Source organism: Homo sapiens, chromosome 1 (genome assembly GCF_000001405.40).
Source record: "Homo sapiens chromosome 1, GRCh38.p14 Primary Assembly".
NCBI lineage: Eukaryota > Metazoa > Chordata > Mammalia > Primates > Hominidae > Homo > Homo sapiens.
In genome coordinates this window covers 149,781,412-149,802,051 of record NC_000001.11, presented here as the reverse complement: position 1 = coordinate 149,802,051, position 20,640 = coordinate 149,781,412, and the positions used below count along the sequence as shown (strand labels likewise).

At 42.4% G+C, this 20,640-nt stretch overlaps 3 protein-coding genes across 16 annotated transcripts in view, besides 3 other annotated features; 2 read left to right on the top strand and 1 right to left on the bottom strand.

Annotated features, from left to right (window-relative positions):
- The window catches only part of H2BC18 (H2B clustered histone 18), a 29,682-nt gene extending 10,319 nt beyond the window's left edge, over positions 1-19,363 (top strand). The window contains exon 2 of the mRNA NM_001161334.2: positions 18,792-19,363. Within this exon, the coding sequence (NP_001154806.1) occupies positions 18,792-18,819 (28 nt within the window). The 3' untranslated portion in view covers positions 18,820-19,363. The remainder of the gene's footprint in view (positions 1-18,791) is intronic.
- Positions 1,443-19,358, bottom strand: FCGR1A (Fc gamma receptor Ia). 12 transcript variants are annotated; one of them, NR_166123.1, is made up of 8 exons: positions 19,278-19,358; positions 18,862-18,882; positions 17,795-18,049; positions 13,435-13,686; positions 11,714-11,998; positions 10,422-10,815; positions 4,532-4,579; positions 1,443-2,184 (listed from the first exon to the last, which is right to left on the bottom strand). NR_166123.1 is itself a non-coding variant. In NM_001378804.1 (6 exons), exons 1-6 carry the CDS (start codon positions 19,306-19,308, stop codon positions 10,535-10,537), a joined length of 1,128 nt encoding a protein of 375 aa, NP_001365733.1. In that variant the 5' UTR covers positions 19,309-19,358; the 3' UTR covers positions 10,377-10,534. The 12 variants fall into 12 exon arrangements, 9 of the variants coding, with proteins under 9 accessions (NP_001365733.1, NP_000557.1, NP_001365735.1 ...); NR_166122.1 differs by lacking the exon at positions 1,443-2,184 and having other exon boundaries at positions 3,567-4,579; NR_166121.1 differs by lacking the exons at positions 1,443-2,184; positions 4,532-4,579 and having other exon boundaries at positions 10,377-10,815; positions 11,714-11,900.
- Positions 8,175-8,939: an enhancer, noted in NCBI's record as "OCT4-NANOG-H3K27ac-H3K4me1 hESC enhancer chr1:149764669-149765433 (GRCh37/hg19 assembly coordinates)". NCBI's record gives its function as "activates a minimal SCP1, AML or CMV promoter by ChIP-STARR-seq in naive H9 embryonic stem cells {active_cell/tissue: H9 hESC(naive)}" and the evidence as "EXISTENCE:reporter gene assay evidence [ECO:0000049][PMID:30033119]".
- Positions 8,175-9,108: a biological region, named in NCBI's record as "OCT4-NANOG-H3K27ac-H3K4me1 hESC enhancer GRCh37_chr1:149764669-149765433".
- LOC124904411 (uncharacterized) lies at positions 8,832-19,162 on the top strand. 3 transcript variants are annotated; one of them, XM_047438182.1, is made up of 3 exons: positions 8,832-10,094; positions 13,914-14,430; positions 18,792-19,162. In XM_047438182.1, exon 1 carries the CDS (start codon positions 8,844-8,846, stop codon positions 9,516-9,518), a length of 675 nt encoding a protein of 224 aa, XP_047294138.1. In that variant the 5' UTR covers positions 8,832-8,843; the 3' UTR covers positions 9,519-10,094; positions 13,914-14,430; positions 18,792-19,162. The 3 variants fall into 3 exon arrangements, with proteins under 3 accessions (XP_047294138.1, XP_047294139.1, XP_047294136.1); XM_047438183.1 differs by lacking the exon at positions 13,914-14,430; XM_047438180.1 differs by lacking the exon at positions 18,792-19,162 and having other exon boundaries at positions 13,914-16,393.
- Positions 8,869-9,108: a silencer, noted in NCBI's record as "silent region_1289". NCBI's record gives its function as "represses an Ori minimal core promoter by ATAC-STARR-seq in GM12878 lymphoblastoid cells {active_cell/tissue: GM12878}" and the evidence as "EXISTENCE:reporter gene assay evidence [ECO:0000049][PMID:35858748]".

Here is a 20,640-nt window from a genome sequence, read left to right as displayed (position 1 = left end):
CCAAGTAAAACTTGAATTTTGATCCTTAGCCTGGAGAAAAAGGTAAGAAACTTTTTCATTTGTCTAAGAGAAGTTTATTTCATGGTGTTTATGATTGTGGAGATGTGTTTGTGGGGGAAAGTGGCATATTAAATTTTTCTAGACTAGTATGTGCAAATAATTTATAGTGGGGAGGGGGGAATTTGAGTCTCAAAGATAGAAGCGTAATGAAACAGAACTGTGACTGTTCTTCCTGGCATGAGGAAATAACCTATGAATTACAAGCATGCTTGAGTAATGTAGATTGAGTTGATGGGTAGAAATGTGGCCCCTTACAGCACAGAGATGACAAAGTAAATACATTTGGCCCTCCTGGCAGGGTAGAAGTATAATGTGTTCCCAAAATCACCCGGATATGCCATCGTATAGTGTATTAGTAAAGAGTTCAGGCTTCTGAGACGGACCACCTGGAGTGTAACTTGGCTCTGCTCTTTAGGATGTTTTTAATCTGTGTTTTCTCATCTTAAAACTGGGACTATAGTAATGCTTACTTACTTCATAATGTTTTTATGAAGGATAATTGCTTAATGTTTCCTACTAATAAACAATTCAATAAATACTAGTTGGTGATCGTAGGGAAGTCCTGTTAAGTGCTCTGCAAGTTTCCCATCTCTAATGCACAGGTGAAAAATAGCTACTGATTCAAGATTGTGTCCTGAAGATATGTTGCTTTCTTCTCATATTCCACCCCAAATTCCTAGAAATGATAAAAAATTGACAAAGATGGCAGATGGGGTAACAGTGAAGAGTGCCAAGGAGGACTTCTGCAGAAGACAGGAGTGGACCAAAAAATGATCCACATGTTTTGGAACCAGGAGACAAAAGTTGGTCTTGGGGCAACTGACAGGATGACAGTTCAGGTACCACAGTAGGAATATCCACCCATCTCCTTACCTTGGTGACTGAAGTCTTTTTATTTATTTTCTAGAGACCGGGTCTCACTCTATTACCCATGCTGGAGTGCAGTGGCACGATCTCAACTCACTGCAGCCCCAACCTCCTGGGCTCAAGCTCTCCTCCCACCTCAGCCTCCCTAGTAGTTGGGACCACAGGCATGTACCACCACAACCAGCTAATTTTTGTATTTTTTATAGAGATGGGGTTTCACCATTTTGCCCAGGCTGGTCTCAAACTCCTGGGCTCAAGGGATCCACCGACCTTGGCCTCCCAAAGTTCTGGGTTTACAGGTGTGAACCACCATGTCTGGCTGGTGACTGACATCTTTGACCCCAGCAGTGAGTGCGGTCATTTGGTTCAAGGAGGCAGGAAAATGTGCCAAGTAACTGGGCGCTCCCACATCTTGGAAATTTAAAATTTGATTATTGACATAAAAATTCAACAAGGGATAAATCCAGAACAGGATAGATAAAGCCAAGAGAAAATAAATAAGCTGAAAGATTGTGCTATTATGAAATATATATTTGGTCTTCAACCCCATTTCCTGACATACAACTCCTAAAATCCTTAGAAACACCAAAGTGTGATGTCGTTTTGTTTATTAATGAGTTGACTGATGTCTGGCAGCCCCTAGGTAGCTTCAGGATGGGGGCTGGTGACCAGAAAGAACAAGGGGAGGATTAGAGAGTTGGGACTTTCAGCCCACCTCCAACTTCCGGGGAGGGGAGAGGGGCTGAAGGTTAAGCCGATCACCAATGGCCAATGGTTTAATCAGTGATTCCTATGCAATGGAGCCTCCATACAAAGACCCAAAAGGACAGGGCTTGGAGAGCTTCTGGATAGCTGAACATGTAGAGGTTCCTGAAGGGCGGCGCACCCAGTGGAGGTGCATGGAAGCTCCATGCTCCTTCCCCCATACTTTACCTTATGCATCTTTTCATCTGTATTTTTTGTTATAAACCAGTAAACCCAAGTGTTTCTCTGAGTTTCATGAACTGCTCTAGCAAATTAATACAATGCAAAGGAGGAAGCCATGGGAACCCCAGCTTGGAAATGGTTGGTCAGAAGTTCTGGAGGCCCAGACTTGGAACTGGCATTTGAAGTGGGGGCAGTCTGGTAGACTCAGTCCTCAACCTGTGGGATCTCCTGATAAATAGTGTAAAAATTGAATTGGAGTACACTCAGCTGGTGTCCACTGCAGAACTGATTGCTTGCTTGCTGTATGGAGAACCCCCCTCCGCCGTCAGTCTTCTGTGTTGATTGTTGTAGTGTGAAAGCACAGGAAACACATAGTTTGAGTTTCTCCGTCCTCATGATGATCAAGATAAGCCAGAAATTCCTCCACAAAGCCATATAAAAAGATGCATGCAGAGATGAAAGAAAAGTTAAATGATATGAAAAATAGATCCAGATGTTCCAAACTCATGTAACAGGATGAGGAGTTAGAGAGGAGGGGAGAATTGAAAACATGTAAGAAATAAAATACAAATCTACCAAATAAGATTTGCTGATTGTGCACTGCACAATTTCAGGGGCTGTCATTTGAATAGTAAGATTTGCCAATGTGTAGTGTACAACCTACTATTGTGTAGTATGCAACCATAGTCATGAGAAAATAAAGGAATAAAAGGAGGATATTTCACAGGATCTAAATGCATACATACATCCTTAGATTGCAAGGTCCTATTAAATTCTGAGCATACATGATGAGAAGGACCCTCACCTAGATTCACAGTGACAAAATTTGGGAACAAAGAGAAATTTCTAAACACATTCAGGGAAAATGCTTATGAAGAAATGGAAGTCAAATTTACATCCAACTCATTTGGGCTCCACTGGATATAAGAAGACACGAAGCATTATTTTTTAAAATCTAGGGAAAATAATTTTGAATTCAATTAAACTATCATTTAAGTGTGGGTGACTTTTCAGAATTCTATTCCAGCAATAATTTTAAAAAGATCATAAGGGAAGATGTGAGATAATGGAAGCAAAGGTGGTCATGTATTTGGTAAAAGATATTGCTAAACAAAGTGAATTTAGATTCTAGAAAATTAAAAAGAAAACCTGGAATTCAAATTCCAGGTGATGTAGAAGGGTGGTAGGGAAAGCAAGAGTGAAGAGAAGTAAAACAAGCTAAGTAAGATTTATGTTATAAATAAATAGGATATAGATATTATTACTGTAGAAGTTAGAAAAATGTGGGCTTACATGGTGGGTCACACATGTAATCCTGGCACTTTGGGAAGCTGAGGCAGGAGGATCACTTGAAGCCAAGAGTTCAAGATCAGCCTGGGCAACAAAGCAAGACCCCTGTCTCTACAAAAAGTAAAAATATTAGCCAGGCATGGTTACATGCACCTGTAGTCCCAGCTACTTAGGAGGCTGAAGCAGGAGGATTGCTTGAGCCTAGGAGGTCAAGGCTGCAGTGAGCTATGATTGCACCTTTGCACTCTGGCCTGGTGACAGAGCAAGTTCCTCTTTTTTTTTTTTTTTTAAAGTCGGTTTAAAAATACATTTATATATGGCACTAGAAGGGTATATCATATTCATAAAGGTAGTGCTCCATTAAGGAATGACCATGAATTGTTTGCATTTAACAAGGATACATACACATATGTGCATATAAGTCAACAATCACAGTGATAAGTTTAATATACCTTTCTTAGGAATTGACAGATCTAGTTGACTGAAACTTACTGAGGATATGGAGAATTTGAAGAACACGGTTAATAAGATTAATCATAACTATAATTATGCCTATACCATCTTATATTCAAAATAGGAAAGTTACATTATTTTCAAATTCACATAGAATATTGACAAAAATTGGCCATAAGTGAGATGGCAAATTAAGTCTCAACAAGTGCTGAAAAGCTGAAACCATATAGGACCAGGGCATAGTTAACTGATTATAAAACAATAAAATAATCAAACATGCCCTCCTTAAGTTGTACTCTTAGGAAAAAGCACATGGGTTAAAGGGGATATCAGAATAAAAATTATACACTCTTTAGAAATAACAAGAGCACTATAATTCAGCCATACCCTGAGACTTCACAAGCTTTGGTCCCAGTAAGCTAGAATTCAAATCTTAGCCCTATATTTAAATAACTCCTTGAATTGCCATTTCTTATCCCAATTATCTGTCATTCCACTGTGAAATATATTTCATGGCAAATAATATTAAAACCTACATGAAGCAGTCAGGAGAAAATTTGTAGCTTTAAAATGCATTTAAGAGAAAATAATTGGTAGGCAGATCGCCTTGGCCTCCCAATTATTGCCTCTGGAATTGGAGACCAGCCTGGACAACATGGCAGGACCCTGTGTCTCCAACAGATACAAAAATTAGCTGGATGTCGTGGTGCACGCCTATAGTTCGAACTGCTAGGGAGGCCGAGGCAGGAGGATCGTTGAGCCTGGGAGGCGGAGGGTTACAGTGAGTTGAGATCATGCCACTGCACTCCAGCCTGAGCAACAGAGAGAGAATTAAGTTTTTAACTCAAACGCTAACAAAGGAACACAACAAAAACCTGTGGAAAGTAGAAGGCATAAAGTAAGATGAAAGCATAGTCAATGAAACAGATCATACCTTCCTATTCCACCAAAATGGAATTTATAAAACCAAACACCGTGTTCCCTGAAAAGAAAATTAAGAGTTAATCCTTCCGTAAACTTACTATTGAAAAAGCACATAAGTAATACTAGATATAGAAGATATTAAAATGATGTGTATTTTTGATATATATTTGCGAATGTAGACAAAATGTTGACTTTTCCATACAAATTACCAAAGTTGAGCTAAGAAAAGTAAAATACCTGAATAAAGAATTAACAGAATTAAAGAATAAGAGAAACAGAAAAAAAATCAGATATACATATCCTTAAAAATAGCACCAAGGCCAGGTGCGGCAGCTCATGCCTGTAATCCCAGCACTTTGGGAGGGCGAGGTGGGTGAATTATTTGAAGTCAAGAGTTTGAGACCAGCCTAGCCAAGATGGTGAAACCTCGTCTCTACTAAAAATACAAAAATTAGCCGGGTGTGGTGGCGTGTGCCTATAATTCCAGCTACTTGGGAGGCTGAGGCAGGAGAATCACTTGAACCTGGGAGATGGAGGTTGCAGTTAGCTGAGATAGTGCCACTGCACTCCAGCCTGGGTGACACAACGAAACTCTGTCTCAAAAAACAAACAAAAGCAAGCCCAGACAGCTTTACCAAACACTGAGGAGAGAATATATTATACAAATTGATCAAAATAATAGAATAGTATTAAAAGCCACCGACTGAGTGTGAGGCAATGACAACAGATATTATGAAGGCTAAATGAAATAACCCATGAAAGGTAAATAAGCATTTGTTAAAATAATAAAGTTGACTATTAAGTGCCATGATATAGATTTCACAGTGGAATGAAAGGATAAAATAATTGGGATAAGAAATTGCAATTCAAGGAGCTACTTAAGTGCAGGACCAAGATTTTAATTCAGCCATATCCTGAAATTTTACAATCTTTGGTCACAATAAACTAGAATTCAAGGTAGAAAATGATTATTTTCTAAAATAAAGATGGTACTTATAAACCTATATAAATGCTCATTTCTCCTCTTCGAAGTATTTTTCTGCCCTTCCAGAAGAACTGGGCCTTGAAGTCACAGCCAGGCTCCAGAGGACTGCTGTTTCACTGGATATCACGCCATTGCTTCTTCAAAATTATCTTCTCAGAGAATACCACATTTGGGGAATTTAATTTACTTCTCGAGAATCCCTAACCCAATTATTTCTAGTCTTCCTTAGAGATTTTCTTTCTCCATTAACTCCCATATTATGTCTGGGAATCTTTTACTTTCACATATGCTCCCTCTCCACAATTTATTCTTTTTTTAATCTTCTCTAAGTGTTGAGTAGTATACATGTGTGATAGGGAGATGAAGGGGAAAGGCAGAAAACTGAACTTCTTACCCTCATGGAAGTTTTGACCCCACATTTAGAAAAAACAAGAAGTGGAGAATAAAGAGAGAAGGACAGCAAGCAATTTTATTTGTTCCCATTTTCCTGCCAATGTGCATTAACAAAGAAGTCTGTACCTAAAAGACCTTATGCAAGACCAGATTTTCACATTACTAGCTTTGTGTGTGTGTGACATCCTGCTTTCCGTTGCCAAGCTTAATGTATATGTGTCTTAGGGTCTTTCAGTTTTTATACTATTATGGCTATGTTGTGGTAAACTGAGGAAAGGAGAGGCCAATATGGAAAAACAGGAGGATTGTTGTTTATTTTAGGTACGCATGGCTCAGCAGGTTTGCATCTAAAAAGCTGAGCACTGAACAAAGACAGAGTGGGGTTTTTATAAGCGGCCTTACAGACACAAAACAAAAGCAGTTAATCATACAGTGACAGGTCACATAATCTATAGCATAACATAACTTGTGACCTTGCATAGCTGGTGACCTTGTAGTTGCATCGAAAGAAAAACAAAAACTGGCTAAATACAGACATTTGTAAATAATGCTTAAGAGGCCTGGGGAAAGAGTAAGAGTAAAAGAATCTTTCTCTTTTTCTTCCTCCAACCTTGCTCTGGAAGGGAGGGGTGTCTGGAGCCTATTCCTTTGACCTTGGCTATTTGGACAGCGTTATCTTATAACTGTCCTTGAAGTAAGCTTGCTAGGCAGAGGAAAACTTGTTCTCTTCTTTTTAACCCTTGCCTTGCCACATTCTGGGCCTTAGCTTTTACTTTTCTTGGAGTGAATAAATGCAGTACTTATTATTTATTTGTTTTAAATTTCTGCCTCAGCTGTGAGACTGGTAATAATCATTTATTTATTTATTTATTTATTTATTTATTTATTTATTTATTTATTTTTGAGACAGGGTTTCCCTCTGCCACCCAGGCTGAAGTGCAGTGGTGCGATCTTGGCTTACTGCAGCCTCTGCCTCCTGGGCTCAATTGATCCTCCTACTTCAGCCTCCTGAGTAGCTGGGGCTACAGGCGTGTGCCACTGGCTAATTTTTGTATTTTTTATAAAGATGAGGTTTGCCATGTTGCCCAGGCTGGTCTCCAACACCTGGCTCAAGTGTCTGCCTACCTTGGCCTCCCAAAGTGCTAGGATTACAGACATGAACCACCGCACCTGGCCAATAATTACTTCTGAAGATTCTGACAATACCATTTACAATAACACAAAAATGAAGGACCTAAGAATACATCTAACACATCTAGAGAGAATATTATAATATTGTTGTGAGACATTAACAGTGACATAAATAAATGAGAGTTATACCTTGTTTATGGATTGGAAAGTCAGTGTTGGAATGATATCAATCCTCCCTAACCCTCTCCCTCCCGCCCCTGCCCCAAAAAGATCGACAGATTTAGTGCAGTCCCACTCCAAATCCAATAGTTTTCTCAGGAGAATTTGACATAGTTGATCTCTCTTTCTTGAGACGTTTTATTCTCTGTTTTCCCTCCTACCTCACTGGTACTCCTTATCAATATCCTTTGCTACCACCTCTTCTACGCAACCTCTAAAATGTGGCATATTTCATGGCTCAGCCTTAGACCTTTTTCTATCTGTACTTCCCCCTTACATTGTTCTTTCTAGTCCCCTGACTCTAAATACCACATCTATATGATGATTGGCAAATTTGTATCTCTAGTCTAGGATTCTTCATATATCCATTGCTTTTTCAAGAGTTACACTTAAATGTCAAATAGGAATCTTAAAATGTCCAATATGAAACATTCGCTTCTTGCTACCCCGTTCCCCTCCTCCACCAACTTGCTGTCTCAATTCTGTCAATGGAATATTTATTGCTTTGACCCAAAATCTACGTGTTCCCCCCCCTTCTCTTTCTCACATTCCCTACATCTAATCAATAAGAAACTTTGTTGACACTTCCTACAAAACATCTTCCAAATGTGACCACTCTCAATAGCTCCACTGTTACCATGTTAGTCCAGGCTGCCGCTGCCTCTCACCTAGACTCCTAACTGGTCTCTTTGCTTCTACTGTTGTCTCTCTACAGCCCGAGGAATCTGTCTCCAACTAAGCCTGGTGGCAGTGAGGACCGTCAGCCCCCTCCCAGCCAGCTGTCAGCTATACCTCCATTCTGTCTGGTTCTCAGGGCTGGAATCGCTGGGCAGGTCTAGCTAATCCTTGGCCCTCCTAGGAAAATATTCCTAAATCCTGAAGGCATTTAGCTAGGAAAGATCCAGAATGGACCCAACTCTTCCTGTTTTACCCCAAACCGGTTGGTCTGCTTTGGGGATTACTTCTCAGGCTAGGAACCTCTGAGTGTTCTGAAACGGGCCTGAACTCTTACAGAAGCTCTTGTGGCCCTAGGATGAATTTAGAGGTCTCCATACCCAGCCTGGAAGGTGAAGAACGACCCCTAACGACCCACCCTCCCAACCTAATGCCGGTTCTGCTCCACTTGTCCACTCTGGGGAGCTGTGCTTTGGCTTGGAAGCTCTCGGATTGAAGGATGGGCCCAAGACCCTCACAGGTGAAGCCTCGGTAGGTCCCAGGGAGAAGAAAGATTCCTCCACCCCACCACCCCTCTAAGTCCGACCCACCTTTCTCCCCGCCAGCTGCATCAGATCCCTCCAGGGCCTCATTGTCAGTCCTGTAATCTTTTCATCCGTGATAGGATGGGCCGTGGGCCCTTGTGGGTGAAGCTCGGCGGTTCCCGAGTCCATGTGGGGTGGCCCCTGCGGAGCCTGGAGCCTTCTTGCCCGCTGGCTTGCTGATCCCGCCGAGCCAGCTCCCTTCCTGCTTTTGACGGTGAGGGAACCAGCTGGGAGGTCCTCCGAGCTGGACGGGGAGGCGGGCGGCCTCTCCCACTCCCCACCCGCTCCCTCCCTGCCGCCGCCGCCTCCGGCTGCTCTTGCGACAAGCCAAGAAAATGGGGCGCCTGCTGGGAGCCCAGCGCCGTCCTCCCGTTTCCTGTGATCTACCAATCCTCCTCTCCGCGGAGGCTCGGCCGGGCGCACCTGAGGCCGGCAGCATCCCCGGGGCTTGGCGGCAGCTGCAACCTCCACAGACGGCCGCCAGGTGGCGCCGCGCCGGGGCCCGGGAGCTGGCGGGCCCGGGGCGGGGTTGGAGGGACTCAGCTACGCGCCTGGGGAGGCCGCGGGCCCTCGCAGACTACCGAACTTCCATTCTGCCGCCGGGTTTTCACACCTGCCGGCCCCGAGGAAACAATGACGTTGGGATTTTGGGGGGCCGCCCCTTGACTCGGGCGAATGGGACACGAACGGCGACCCCTTGCTCTCTTCCATCCGCCTGCCGCCGTTGCTGCCCACCGACTCCTACAGCTCATTTCTCGCTCCTGCAGCCTCCAGGAATGCAAATAATTTCTCACTGGGTTTTGGCGGGGGCGCGGAGCTGCGGAGAAGCGCGCGCCCAACAGCTTTCGCCGCAGCTGGGTCCCCGGGCGCTGGCGGCTGCGGCCCCCAGATACAGGCGGAGGCTGCAATATGCACATGCGGCCACAGTGTGGCGCCAGGGGCCCGCCGCGGGACACGCTCGGAGCGCGACGCCCCATCCCATCATTTACGGATCAAACCAAATAATCTAGAATCAAGTTGCTGTGTGTGTCATACTCCTCCTGTTTTTTTTCCCTAAACTTTTAGTAGAGTCATTTACATAGTTCAGTTTTTACCTCAGCTATGTTACACAGTGGCAGGAAAATATTTTGTCTCCAAACTACAGCCCAAGTATGAGAGCAGCGTATCCTGAAGCTAATTAGTAACCAGAAAATCAGGAAGGTAAAGCAAATCTCTGGAGGCAAGATCTGGACTCTATGGTATCGCCGCTTCTCCCCACTTGAAGCGTCTCTTTGCAGTGCCGCACTTGGAGATTTGGACTTAATCGTTAAACAAACAGAACAGTTACATTCTGCCTTCCTACAGGGCAGGGGCCTAGGACTGGCAGCATTTTTGTTGTCTCTAGAAATAGAGGGGTTATGAGAGAGCCTCAAAAGAGAGGGCAAGAATAACACATCCATTTCTCATCATGAGTTACCCCCTTGTATGCCTAGAACGCGTATGGAGACATTCTCTTTTAGTAAAGTCAAAGAGAAAAGCCATGAACTAAGTATCCTGAACACAGAGGCGTGAGCCCTCTCAGTCTCACAGTCCCTTAGGAGTCATTTGTAAGTACTATTTCCTTCCTTATTGTCTATACTATTCCCTCTTGTCTCCCTGAAATCTACCCACTCCTGGCTGTGTGTGTGTCTCTTTCTGTCTGTTTCTCTGTCTTAATCTTCTGTACATATGCACCCACTCACCTTTTTACCTTGTTCTGAGAAATAAAATACTATTTTTCAAACTATGTAATAGGATTATCAGGCTAGGCTTGACTTGTAAGTTTTTCAAGAATTCTTTAGAGTAGGCCTCATTTCAAGTCATCTTTGATGACCACATTTCCAAATGTATCCCAGTTGAAGTCAGTTCATTTATTTGCTTTAAGAGTTACATACCATGAGACACACAGTTCTGGTGTTGTTGAACTTTTGGATGTTTGTACGCAGTGCTCACGGGGAGCAAGTGGGCAGGGGACGGTCCAGATCGATGGCCACCCACTGAGCCGCTGCTACGTGGCCCCCTGGGGCTCCTTCCGGTGCACCCCTTCCTGCAGCTGTTCTTCTTTTTGTTCCTGACATTTCAGCTCTTCTTCTAAATGTCTGTCTTCTTGAAGGCTGGAAATTACCTTCTTCTCATGACCAGAATCCAAAGAGATTTCTAAATCCCACTTTTTCTTTCTTTTCAGTTCTTTACGTATTGTCACCCAGAGAACAGTGTTCACTAAAAACATTATTCCCACTGCCAGATAGAAAAGGACATGAAACCAGACAGGAGTTGGTAACTGGAGGCCTGAAACAGAAAAAGACAAAGAGAAGAGATACTATTTAGAGACCAGAGGGGTCTAGCTGAGTTATGTTTGGAAGGGAAGGTTGGCTGAGACCTGATGTGCCTGTCCTCAGGGAGGCACTGGTCATTTCAGGGAGCAGGAAGGAACTGGCGGTAGCTCTAACTGGCTATATGGTGTATAGACAGGGACAGGCTCCTTGGAAGAGCTTAATTGCTGGGCCCTGTCAGTGGACTTACTCCCTAGTTCCAGAGACAACTGATATCTCTGTGCCATTTAATACTTGAAATGAATTTGGGTTGAAGATGAACTTTTTTCCCCCCCAAGGAGACTTTGTTCTAGAGCTCACAATCCCTCTGCCTCAGTTAAATAGAGATACTTGGGGAGGTGGTGATTTGCAGTTTACAAAATCACTGTCTGATAAATCCACCTTGTGAGCTCCTTGAAGCAAGAACTATACTCAAATGTCTTTATATCCCCAGACGTATGACAACAGATAGGAAGAACTTGATAAATTGTTGGTGAGATTGTTGGTGAGGAGGAGGGAGGCAGGGAAGCAGGGAGAGAGAGAGAGAGAAGGGGGGGTCATGGAGTGGAGGGAAGAGTGGGAGGGAGGGGAAAATAAAATGAAGGAGAAAAAAAGAAGGACAGAGGAGAAAATGAAGGAAAGAAATGGAGGAAGGAAAGGCAAAGGAAAAAGAAAAAGAAAGGAAAGGAAATTTAACAGTTTGCGAGGAGAAGAGTGATGTTGTGAATCAAGGATGGAAAGGCCTGCTTGTGGGCTTTTCCTGAAGAGACTTTCCCCTCCTGTCTGGGCCAAAAACCCTTGAACAAACCTCAGTCCCATGGGAGATAAGGGAGTCCCTTCTTCTGTGCCAGTGGCTTCCCGTCATTCTCACTCACCAAGCACTTGAAGCTCCAACTCAGGGCTGCGCTTAAGGACATTTCCATCCTCTGTGGCAGCCTCGCACCAGTATAACCCAGAGTCTTCTCTTCTAGCAGTTAGTATTTGGTATTCAGAGGATGTGTTCCTGCCTCGCAGGGTCTTGCTGCCCATGTAGAAGGAGAAGTAAAGCTGCAAACCAGGCCTCTGCAAGAGCAACTTTGTTTCACAGCTCAGGGTGACCAGATTCCCCTCCAGGAGTGGGGATGTCACAGATGCATTCAGCACTGGAGCTGGAAATAGCTCTAAGGAGAAAGTTGATGGGGGACAAGGTTGCCTGTTTAGCATCCAGGTCCTTTTCACAAAAGACATGCCCTTTACCCCCTTGGGAAACCTGGCCCTAGAAAATGCATCCATAAGGCATTAACCCTTTTTACTTCCAGCAGAGAGCCATTCTTGGGGTGTCCTAATAGACATAATTAGGGTTGCCAGCTTGCTGAGTCCTACTGAGGATACCTCTATACCAGTGGTCCCCAACCTTTTTGGCACTAGGGATGGATTTTGTGGAAGGCAACTTTTCCACAGCCGGGGGGTGAAGTGGGGACAGTTTTGGAAGGTAACTGTTCCACCTCAGATCATCAGGCACGCACAATTCACAATAGGGTTCATGTTTCTGTGAGAATCTAATGTTGCCACTGATTGGACAGGAGGAGGAGCTCAGGCCGTAATGCTGGCTCATGAAGAAGCTCACCTCCTGCTGTGCAGCCCAGTTCCTAACAGGCCACGGACCAGTAAGGGTTGGGAACCCCTGCTCTACAAGGTCCATCCTTCCCTGAATGACCGTGTCATCTGGTCAGTAACCATGCCCTTTTGGCAGTGGTCAACTAGGAGTGAACCCTGACTCACACACTTGCCATTTCAGTGACTTTATTATCATCATTATTATTATTATTATTATTATTATTTGAGACGTAGTCTCGCTCTGTTGCCCAGGCTGGAGTGCAGTGGCGCTATCTCAGCTCACTGCAAGCTCCGCTTCCCGGGTTCATGCTATTCTCCTGCCTCAGCCTCCCGAGTAGCTGGGACTACAGGTGCCCGCCACATTTCAGTGACTCATTATTTTTGTTCCTGACTTTAAAAGATAATCTGGGACAATAATTTCTTTCCCACAGGAGTGAACTTTTTTTTTTCTCAGACAGAGAAAGGTTGCTAGTGATTGTATTAAGAGGAAAGGCCGTGAAAGGGTCAGAACAAGGCCATATGCAAACTGCTTAGCCTGCAGATGCTCAGGAAGAAGTGGCACCACAGAGGCTGCTTTGTCCCTGAGAGGTAGATGGACAGTATAGCCCGTTCTTCATATTTTCCAGGTTTCTCTTTCTATGGGGCTTCCATGAGATTCCATGGTATTATTTTCTAACTCTCCTATCTACCTAGAGTGAGTCTGTATTCTTTACAACTAAAATAATGATGGATGAAATGGATCACCATTATGCCCTGACATTGACATTAGCTCCTGTGATTGTTGATGGGGGTTGCGGTACACTGGAAAGAGTATTGGACTAGGACCCAGAGACCTCAGTTCTGGTTCCAGCTACTGGTCATGGTGTGGCCTTTAGTAATGCAGTTTACCTCTCTGGAGCCCGGTTTCTTCACTTGTAAATTAAAGTGAGGAGTTTAGAATATTTATGATGGTCCCTCAGGGGGAGGGACTATCAGTTCTATGACTATTCCAATACAATACCTTTCACAGTGACAGATATTCCTGCTGATGTGTAGCGATGCTTTCCCATGCCTGAGCAATGGTAGGTGCCATTGTGACTTATGTTGGTTTTCAGAATGGTGAGGTTAGAATTCCAGTGGAAAAACTTAAAGGCTTTGCCATTTCGATAGTAAAGCACATTGTACACCAGCTTATCCTTCCACGCATGACACCTCAAGGCCAGAGGTTCTCCTTCCGTGAAGACTCTGCTGGAGACCTGCAGTAGTAGCCAGCCTGAAAAATATGAACCCAAAATGTATGTATACAGTGGAGGAGGTACAAGGAGGCCCAAGCTTGGCCCTGTGGGCTTCCTATTTTTTCTCCTTGCAACATCCAGCCTCAGAGCTCTGCCAAATCTCAGGCCTATATCCAGTTCCTCAAATATCTTTAGCTTTGGTGGAAAGAAAAGCAATCTTTACTGGCAACTGCGTACACAGCCCTTTCTTATCTTCCCTTTCCAGATCTCAGAAGTTGGTTGAAACAAAAACAGTTCATACAGCATGGTAGGCAGAATTCTAAAATGATCCCAATGACTCACTCCCTTGCATAATCCCCTTGAGTGTGGGTGGAACCTATGACTTGCTTCTAGCCAACAGAATATGACAAGGGTGATGAAATGTCACTCTTGGGATTGCTACATTATGTAAGACTCTATCTTAGCAGTCTGGATGGAAAGTCTCCTCCTGAACTTGAAGAGGTAAGCTGCCATGCCAGGAGAGGGCCTACAAGAGTGCCACAAGGCAAGGGCCTCTAGGAGCTGAGAGTGGCCCCCCACTGATGGGCAGCAAGAAAGCAGGAACCTCAGTCCTACAACCACAAAGAACTGAATTCTGCCAGTGACCTTGTGAGCCTGGAAGAGCTGCAAAAAGAAACACAGCAAAGTCAACACCCTAACTGCAGCCTTGGAAGACTCTCAGCAGAGCACTCAGCTAAGCTGTGATGGGAGTCCTGACCCATGGAAACTGGAAGATCTTAAATGTATGTTGTTGCTAAATTTGTTACACAGCAATAGAAAACAAATACACTCCAACTCTTGACAAATTTGTTAATAGGACCACGCATCCTAAGACAAACACACAGAAGGGCAAACATCCAGATATAAACATCCTACTACATTGATATGAATACTCACATATGTAAGATCAATGATATCACTAGCAAAACAAGCTCCAAGTCAATGGGCTTTTCCTTTCGACATACACCTCTACACATAACCAAAAATGCTTCAACTACTTTTCTTTTCTCCAGAGGCAGTTGGTTTGGCTAAGTAAAAATGGGGTTCTTAGGAGACTAAGGCGGAAAAGAGACAATAGTGCCTTTTCCCCCTCCAGAACTTATCTAAGAATGGAAGGCAGGTGTTTCTATGCTATACATAGCATGAATTTTACAGTCATGGATACTGATATAATGCTTCCAAATAGAATTAATTCTCTTCCCTCCCTTATTCCCACCCACAGCCAGCAGATGCTGAAAGACTGCACTGCCCAAACACTGCCATCTTTGCTTTATATATCCAAAAGAGTGGGAAGTGCTGTCACATCTCCATCAGAAACTGTCAAACACTAGTAATGGTAGAAAATATTTGAATGACACAATTAATAGGCTTGATTTTGTGGATGCTCTACTTTAGAAAGAAAATTCATATGCTTTTCAAACACACATGCAATATTAGAAAAATTAAGTGTGAACTAGGCCACAAAGCAATTTTCAACAAATACTAATGAACTGATACCATGTTTAACACAAATTCTAACCAAAGTGCTATAATATTAGAAATCAATAGCAAAAAACTACCCTCCAAAAAACATCTAAGTAATTCATGAATAAAATAATGTATAATGGAAATTTATGAGTTTTTAAACTTAAATGGTAATGGTAGTATTATATATCAAAACTCACGAGATGCAGCTTTTAGCAGACATTACTAATTTCCTACTCAACAATCATTCCCCTACCTTCATGACTTTGGTGTCAGCCATATGATTAGGGCTCGGGTCCACCAACCAGCTGCATTTTCTTGGTCTTAGCATATACTGATTAAATTGAAATGACTAAGAGTCAGTGAGCTGCAATTGAATTCCCCATGGCTGACTGTGGCAAAACATTTTAAAATAGGGCATAGACGGCACCAACCAAAAATGTTGGTGTATTGTACTGTAGTAAAATTAACAAGTCTTGTTCATTGAAAACAAACAAAACTTTAATATTATAGTGAAAAGAAAAGCCACAGAGTGGGAGAAGATATTTAAGACACTTGAAAAAGGACTTATATCCAGAATATATAAATAACTCCTGTAAGTCAGTAAGAAAAAGACAGACAATAGAAAAATTATCAAAAAGACCTTACAAAAAAGGATACCCAAATAGGTAATAAACGTGAAAAATGGTCAATATCATAGTCATTAGGGAAATGCTTAATTTGCATTTGTATATCCAAAAGAGTGGGAAATTGTAACATACCTCCATCAGATACTGTCAAACATTAGTAATGGTAGAAAATATTTGAAACATGTAAACAAAAATATCCACAGCATTACTATTTGTAAGTGGTCAAAACCAGAAGCAACCCGAGCCCCTCAGCAGAATGGGAAAATATGAAATATACAGTAATAAGAACAAATGAACTTCAATTTACAACATGTATACAGTTCACAATCATAATGTTGAGAAAAATAAACCAGACACAAAAGAGTACATCCTGTCCCATACCGTAGCCCTTTATATGAAGTTCAAAAATAGGCAAAAAACCTATGGTGCTGGAAGTCAGTGTCAGGGGTGGACTAGAAATGGGCAAGAAGGAGTTTCTGAGGTGCTGGAAATGTCTAAAATAGATCTGGATGCTGTTTACTTTGAAAAAATTTACTGTGGCATACATTTATGGCTTGTTGTACATAAGTTATATTTCAATGAAAATTCACATTAAAATGTAATATAAAAAAGATATGATTCTCAGTAAGTCACTGATGCTGAGTGTCCTAGAGTCTGTGTAGAGGTAAAGAAAATGGACTCTTCCCAGCCCTAGTCCTTTTGTTGTCACTTGAACCATGAAACACTTCTGCTTGAATTACCCAAAGTATCTTGTTGAAACAGCTCTGTCAGAGGTTGCAGTGAGCCAAGATCACACCACTGCATTCCAGCCTGGGCAACGGAGTGAGACTCTGTCTCAAAAAAAAAAAAAAAAAAAAAAAAAACGAAACAGCTCTGTCAGCTTCCCTAACCTCTCCATCCTAAGAACTTATTTACAGAGACCTAAGGGACACATGAGGAACATCAAGCCTTCCCTCAGACATTCTCAACATTTCCTTGGCTAAAACACATTTCCTCTAACAGCAACCATGTCTGCATAAAGGCAATTTTGCCTCCAGTGTGGATTGACTTTTGCATTATCATTTTTAACGAAGTTTAAACTCATCACTTCTGAATAACTAAATAATACATTTGGTTATTTTGTCTTGCATATTGAATGAAGCATTTTTCCCTGAAGAATATTGCAGTCTCCATCTCTTGATGAATAGAAACTCCTTACAGGTTTAAGTGGGTGGTGGGCTTTTCTGCTTCCATTTATTAAAATATGACAATAATTCCATGTCCAGAATATTATCTTACAGATACCCTATGAAATGTGCCCCCGGAATGTATGTATAAAGATAATTATTGCAGCAATGCTTGTAAAATCAAAAGAGTGGAAACATCTTATAAATTTGCTAATAGGCAGAATGGTTAAATTAATTCTGGTACAGCTGTGCAGCAGACATTTTAAAGTGGATTTCTATTAATATAAACAGAACTTTAAGGTATTTTAAGTGATAAAAGTAAGATATAGGACAATACTTAGAAAGTGTTCTACCACCCACAGCTTTAAAACTATATATATGTGTGTATATATATATATATATATAGTTTATATATAATAATGCTAATATATACATATATATGCATAATATGTATATATATATTAGCAGTTTTGTTTCTGTGGAAGGTGACTGCAGATCTAGGTTTTGGGTGGGAGGAAGATATTTCATTGTTCATTATTGCTCATTTGTTTGAATTATTATTATTTACTATGTACAGGCATACATTTGGAATAATGATACAATCTTAGGGCCTAAGTCTTACTCTAGACATCCTACTTAGAGCTGGCCTAGCTGAGGTACTGTTGGTACACAGTTTAAGGACCCTGCTGTGATGTTTTGAGTATACTGATTTAGTTTCACCTGGTAGGTACATAGTGCTGAGACCTGCACCCAGATAAATCGACACACACACATCTGGCATCCAGAAAGGAGAGAACGCAGAGGAAGACCTTGTGGTTTCCGGCCCTCCTGGTCCAAGTCATAATTACCTCTGTGGATTTCCAGCTGTATGGGGTCACTTCGCCCTGAGAGACCTCTCTGGCACCTGTATTCACCACTGTCATTGACACTGGCAGAGGTGATTCTGTAGCTGGGGGTCGAGGTCTGAGTGGCTGTGCCATTGAGAAACCACTGTGTAGAGCTGCTCCCAGGCAGATGGAGCACCTCACAGTGCAAGGTTACGGTTTCCTCTTGGAACACGCTGACCCATGGAGGCTGCAAAGTGATCACTGCCTTTGTGGTGTCTACTTGGAGATTACAAGAAGAAAAAGAAAAAGATCAAGTGGAGTAAAGGGGAGGGCTCTGAGCAACTGGTGAGGCTTTTGTGGATAGCACAAGGGAAAAATACATATTTAGATTTATTTGAAAAATAGGCAAGTGGAAACCTACAAAAGCCAGCCTTTAAGAGTGTCCTCCTGCTGCAGAGACCTCTGTTCATTGTTATTAAATCCTCATCTGGGTGTTGGGAATCTGGGGCTCCTGAGGATTAAATTACTGATGTAGGTTTTTCTGTTGGGAGCAATGAAGCAGGGTTTTAGACTTGGGCAAGCCAAGCGGAGCTGTTTTCCTTATCCTCTGAGCTATACTGTCTCTGAGAGTACATTGCAGGGCTTCAGCAGCTTGTACATTGGAAACGGAGGTTCAAACTCCTCTCTTTGAAGCCTTCAGTATTTGCCTGGCTCTTTCTGAGGAGAAAAAACCCACTCTGCTTTCTTGTAAAGGGGACTGGTTTAGGGGATGTTGGGAAACCCAGCAGACTACTTCAGTGTCAGCAGACTACTTTAGTGTTTGTGCAATTCTGGCCCTTTCCTGCTGTTATATATACATTCAGGCATTTCGCTCAGAGGAAAGAGCTCATTCAGAAAACTTTAGAAAGAAAGCTTACAAATCATAGTTTTTATGAAAATCATGCTCTGAATATGGGAGATTTTACATAATTTATAAATCTTTCTTCTTTCTCTGCTTTCCCTATATGCTCTTCTGCAGGTTAATAGGACCCATCCTTTGGAAGTAGGAAAGTGGCATAGAAGGAGAAGCTGAGTTAGAGATCACTCACCCACTTGCCCATCAACTGGAACTGCAAGAGATCAGAGAATAAAGATATCAGTTGGTCCAAGGAAAATAATGAGGAAGAGAGAATTGGGGAGACAGAATTAATGTAGACTCTGAGGGATCAACTCAGATCTCTTGAGTTTCTATTTCTCTTTCTCAAAATCCAGTACTAACAGAACTGAACAAGCTACAGGTGGTTATCAAGGAAACTTCACTGCGGTGCGTCCAGGCTTAATGCTACCTCAGGGTTGCCCTTCCCATCCTTTTCATAAAATAAGCTCTAATAAACCATGGAAGCACAGATACAAGTTGCTTCATACTCATGAGTTCTACCCAGAGTTACCACAGGAAGACAAAACTCTTGACTCACAACAGCCACAGCCTGTACCCTTCTAACTGTCCCCTCTGAGTCCAACTTACCCCAAAGGAGCAGAGTTGTCAAGAACCACATGTTGTCTCCAAGCTGGTGGGAGCAGTGAAATCTGTAACATGCAAGATATTGAAGAGGTTCTGCTGGTGGCTCCAGAGCCAAATTAGAAAAGAGGAAGGAAATTGCCTTTTCTGACCATTTTCATCATGTTGCTTTTCTGGGAAATACATCTCAAATTCTTGAAACATGCTTTTCCCATGCTCATACCTGTTAGCCCATCTCTCCCAGTTTGAATCTCTGATTTTCAGGTTATGAACTCTCAGAATCCAGGGAAAAGGCTAAAGTTGTATTGACATTCTATTCTATTTTTACCCTCTACCGTTTCTGTTTCTTACGGTTAGAATATGGCAAAACCTCACTCTTTATAATTGGTTCAATGCCTGGCTAATGCCTCCAAACAATCATTTGAATCCAGAAGTTTCTATATCAGCCTCTATGAGGCCATGGGAAAAGTTACTCATCTACAAGAGCTGCCCTAATACAAACCAGCCTCTGCTCCTCTAGGGGACACAGACAGGATCAATCTCCCATTTTGGTTAAAAAAGAAAACAAACTCTCTTCCTGAAAGACATCATGAATTTGGAGTGTTTATTTTGGCTAAATCCAAGGTAATTAATTGTTTAATGTGGATGCTATGGAGAAGAAAAATAACTCATGCACATGGATAGCAATATCTTCAAGAAAAGAGTTTCAGAGTACAAGTGGGGAGCTCTGTGCCACCAAACTGAGGTGGCTCCTGAGACAGAGTTGTAACCCCATAAAAAGATTTTTAGGTATTGTGGTAAGAGAGAAAGAGAGCTAAATGGAAACTAAATGAGAGCTAAAAAAAGAGAGCTAAAGAGAGCTAAATGAATTCAATGAGTGCAGAGAGACTTTGGCAATCTTACTAGCAGAGAATGAAAAATGATGACAAATCATGCTGTAAGTTGGTGTACTGGCCCCAGTTTCTCACCGCTCCCTGAATCTACACTCTCTCCACAGCCTCATGAGGGTATGTCTCTGACTCTTGACTGTGGCTCATCATGAGACTTTCATTGGCCAGCGAAATGTGAATGGAAATGACATGGTGCTAATTTCAAACTTAGCACTTAGGAAGCTTCACACATTATCTCTCACCCTCTTGTTCTCCTGTGATTGCTGAGACAAGAACATTTTTTAGCTAGTCAGCCACAGTGCGAAACAGAGCTGTCCTAGACATTGTGGCTTGAGGCAGAGCTGCCTCACCTGCCCTGCAAACTTGTAAGTGAGAACTAAATGCTTACCTTTATATGCTACTGAGATTTGAGGATTGCTATACGAGCAAGAGCTGACTGACACAAATGAAAAGCAAGGAAGAAAGGCCGGGAAGAACTC

Bases quoted from the DNA above. Each gene is read 5' to 3' on its own strand.
- LOC124904411 (XM_047438183.1), top strand. From the start codon at position 8,844: ATGGGGCGCCTGCTGGGAGCCCAGCGCCGTCCTCCCGTTTCCTGTGAT.
- FCGR1A (NM_001378804.1), bottom strand. From the start codon at position 19,308: ATGTGGTTCTTGACAACTCTGCTCCTTTGGG. The intron at 11,999-13,434 runs GTATTGTATTGG...CTTTCTCCTTAG, and splicing joins AATATCTGTCACTGTGAAAG to AGCTATTTCCAGCTCCAGTG. The intron at 10,816-11,713 runs GTGAGTGAGAAT...TTTCTGTTTCAG, and splicing joins GTTGGAGCTTCAAGTGCTTG to GCCTCCAGTTACCAACTCCT.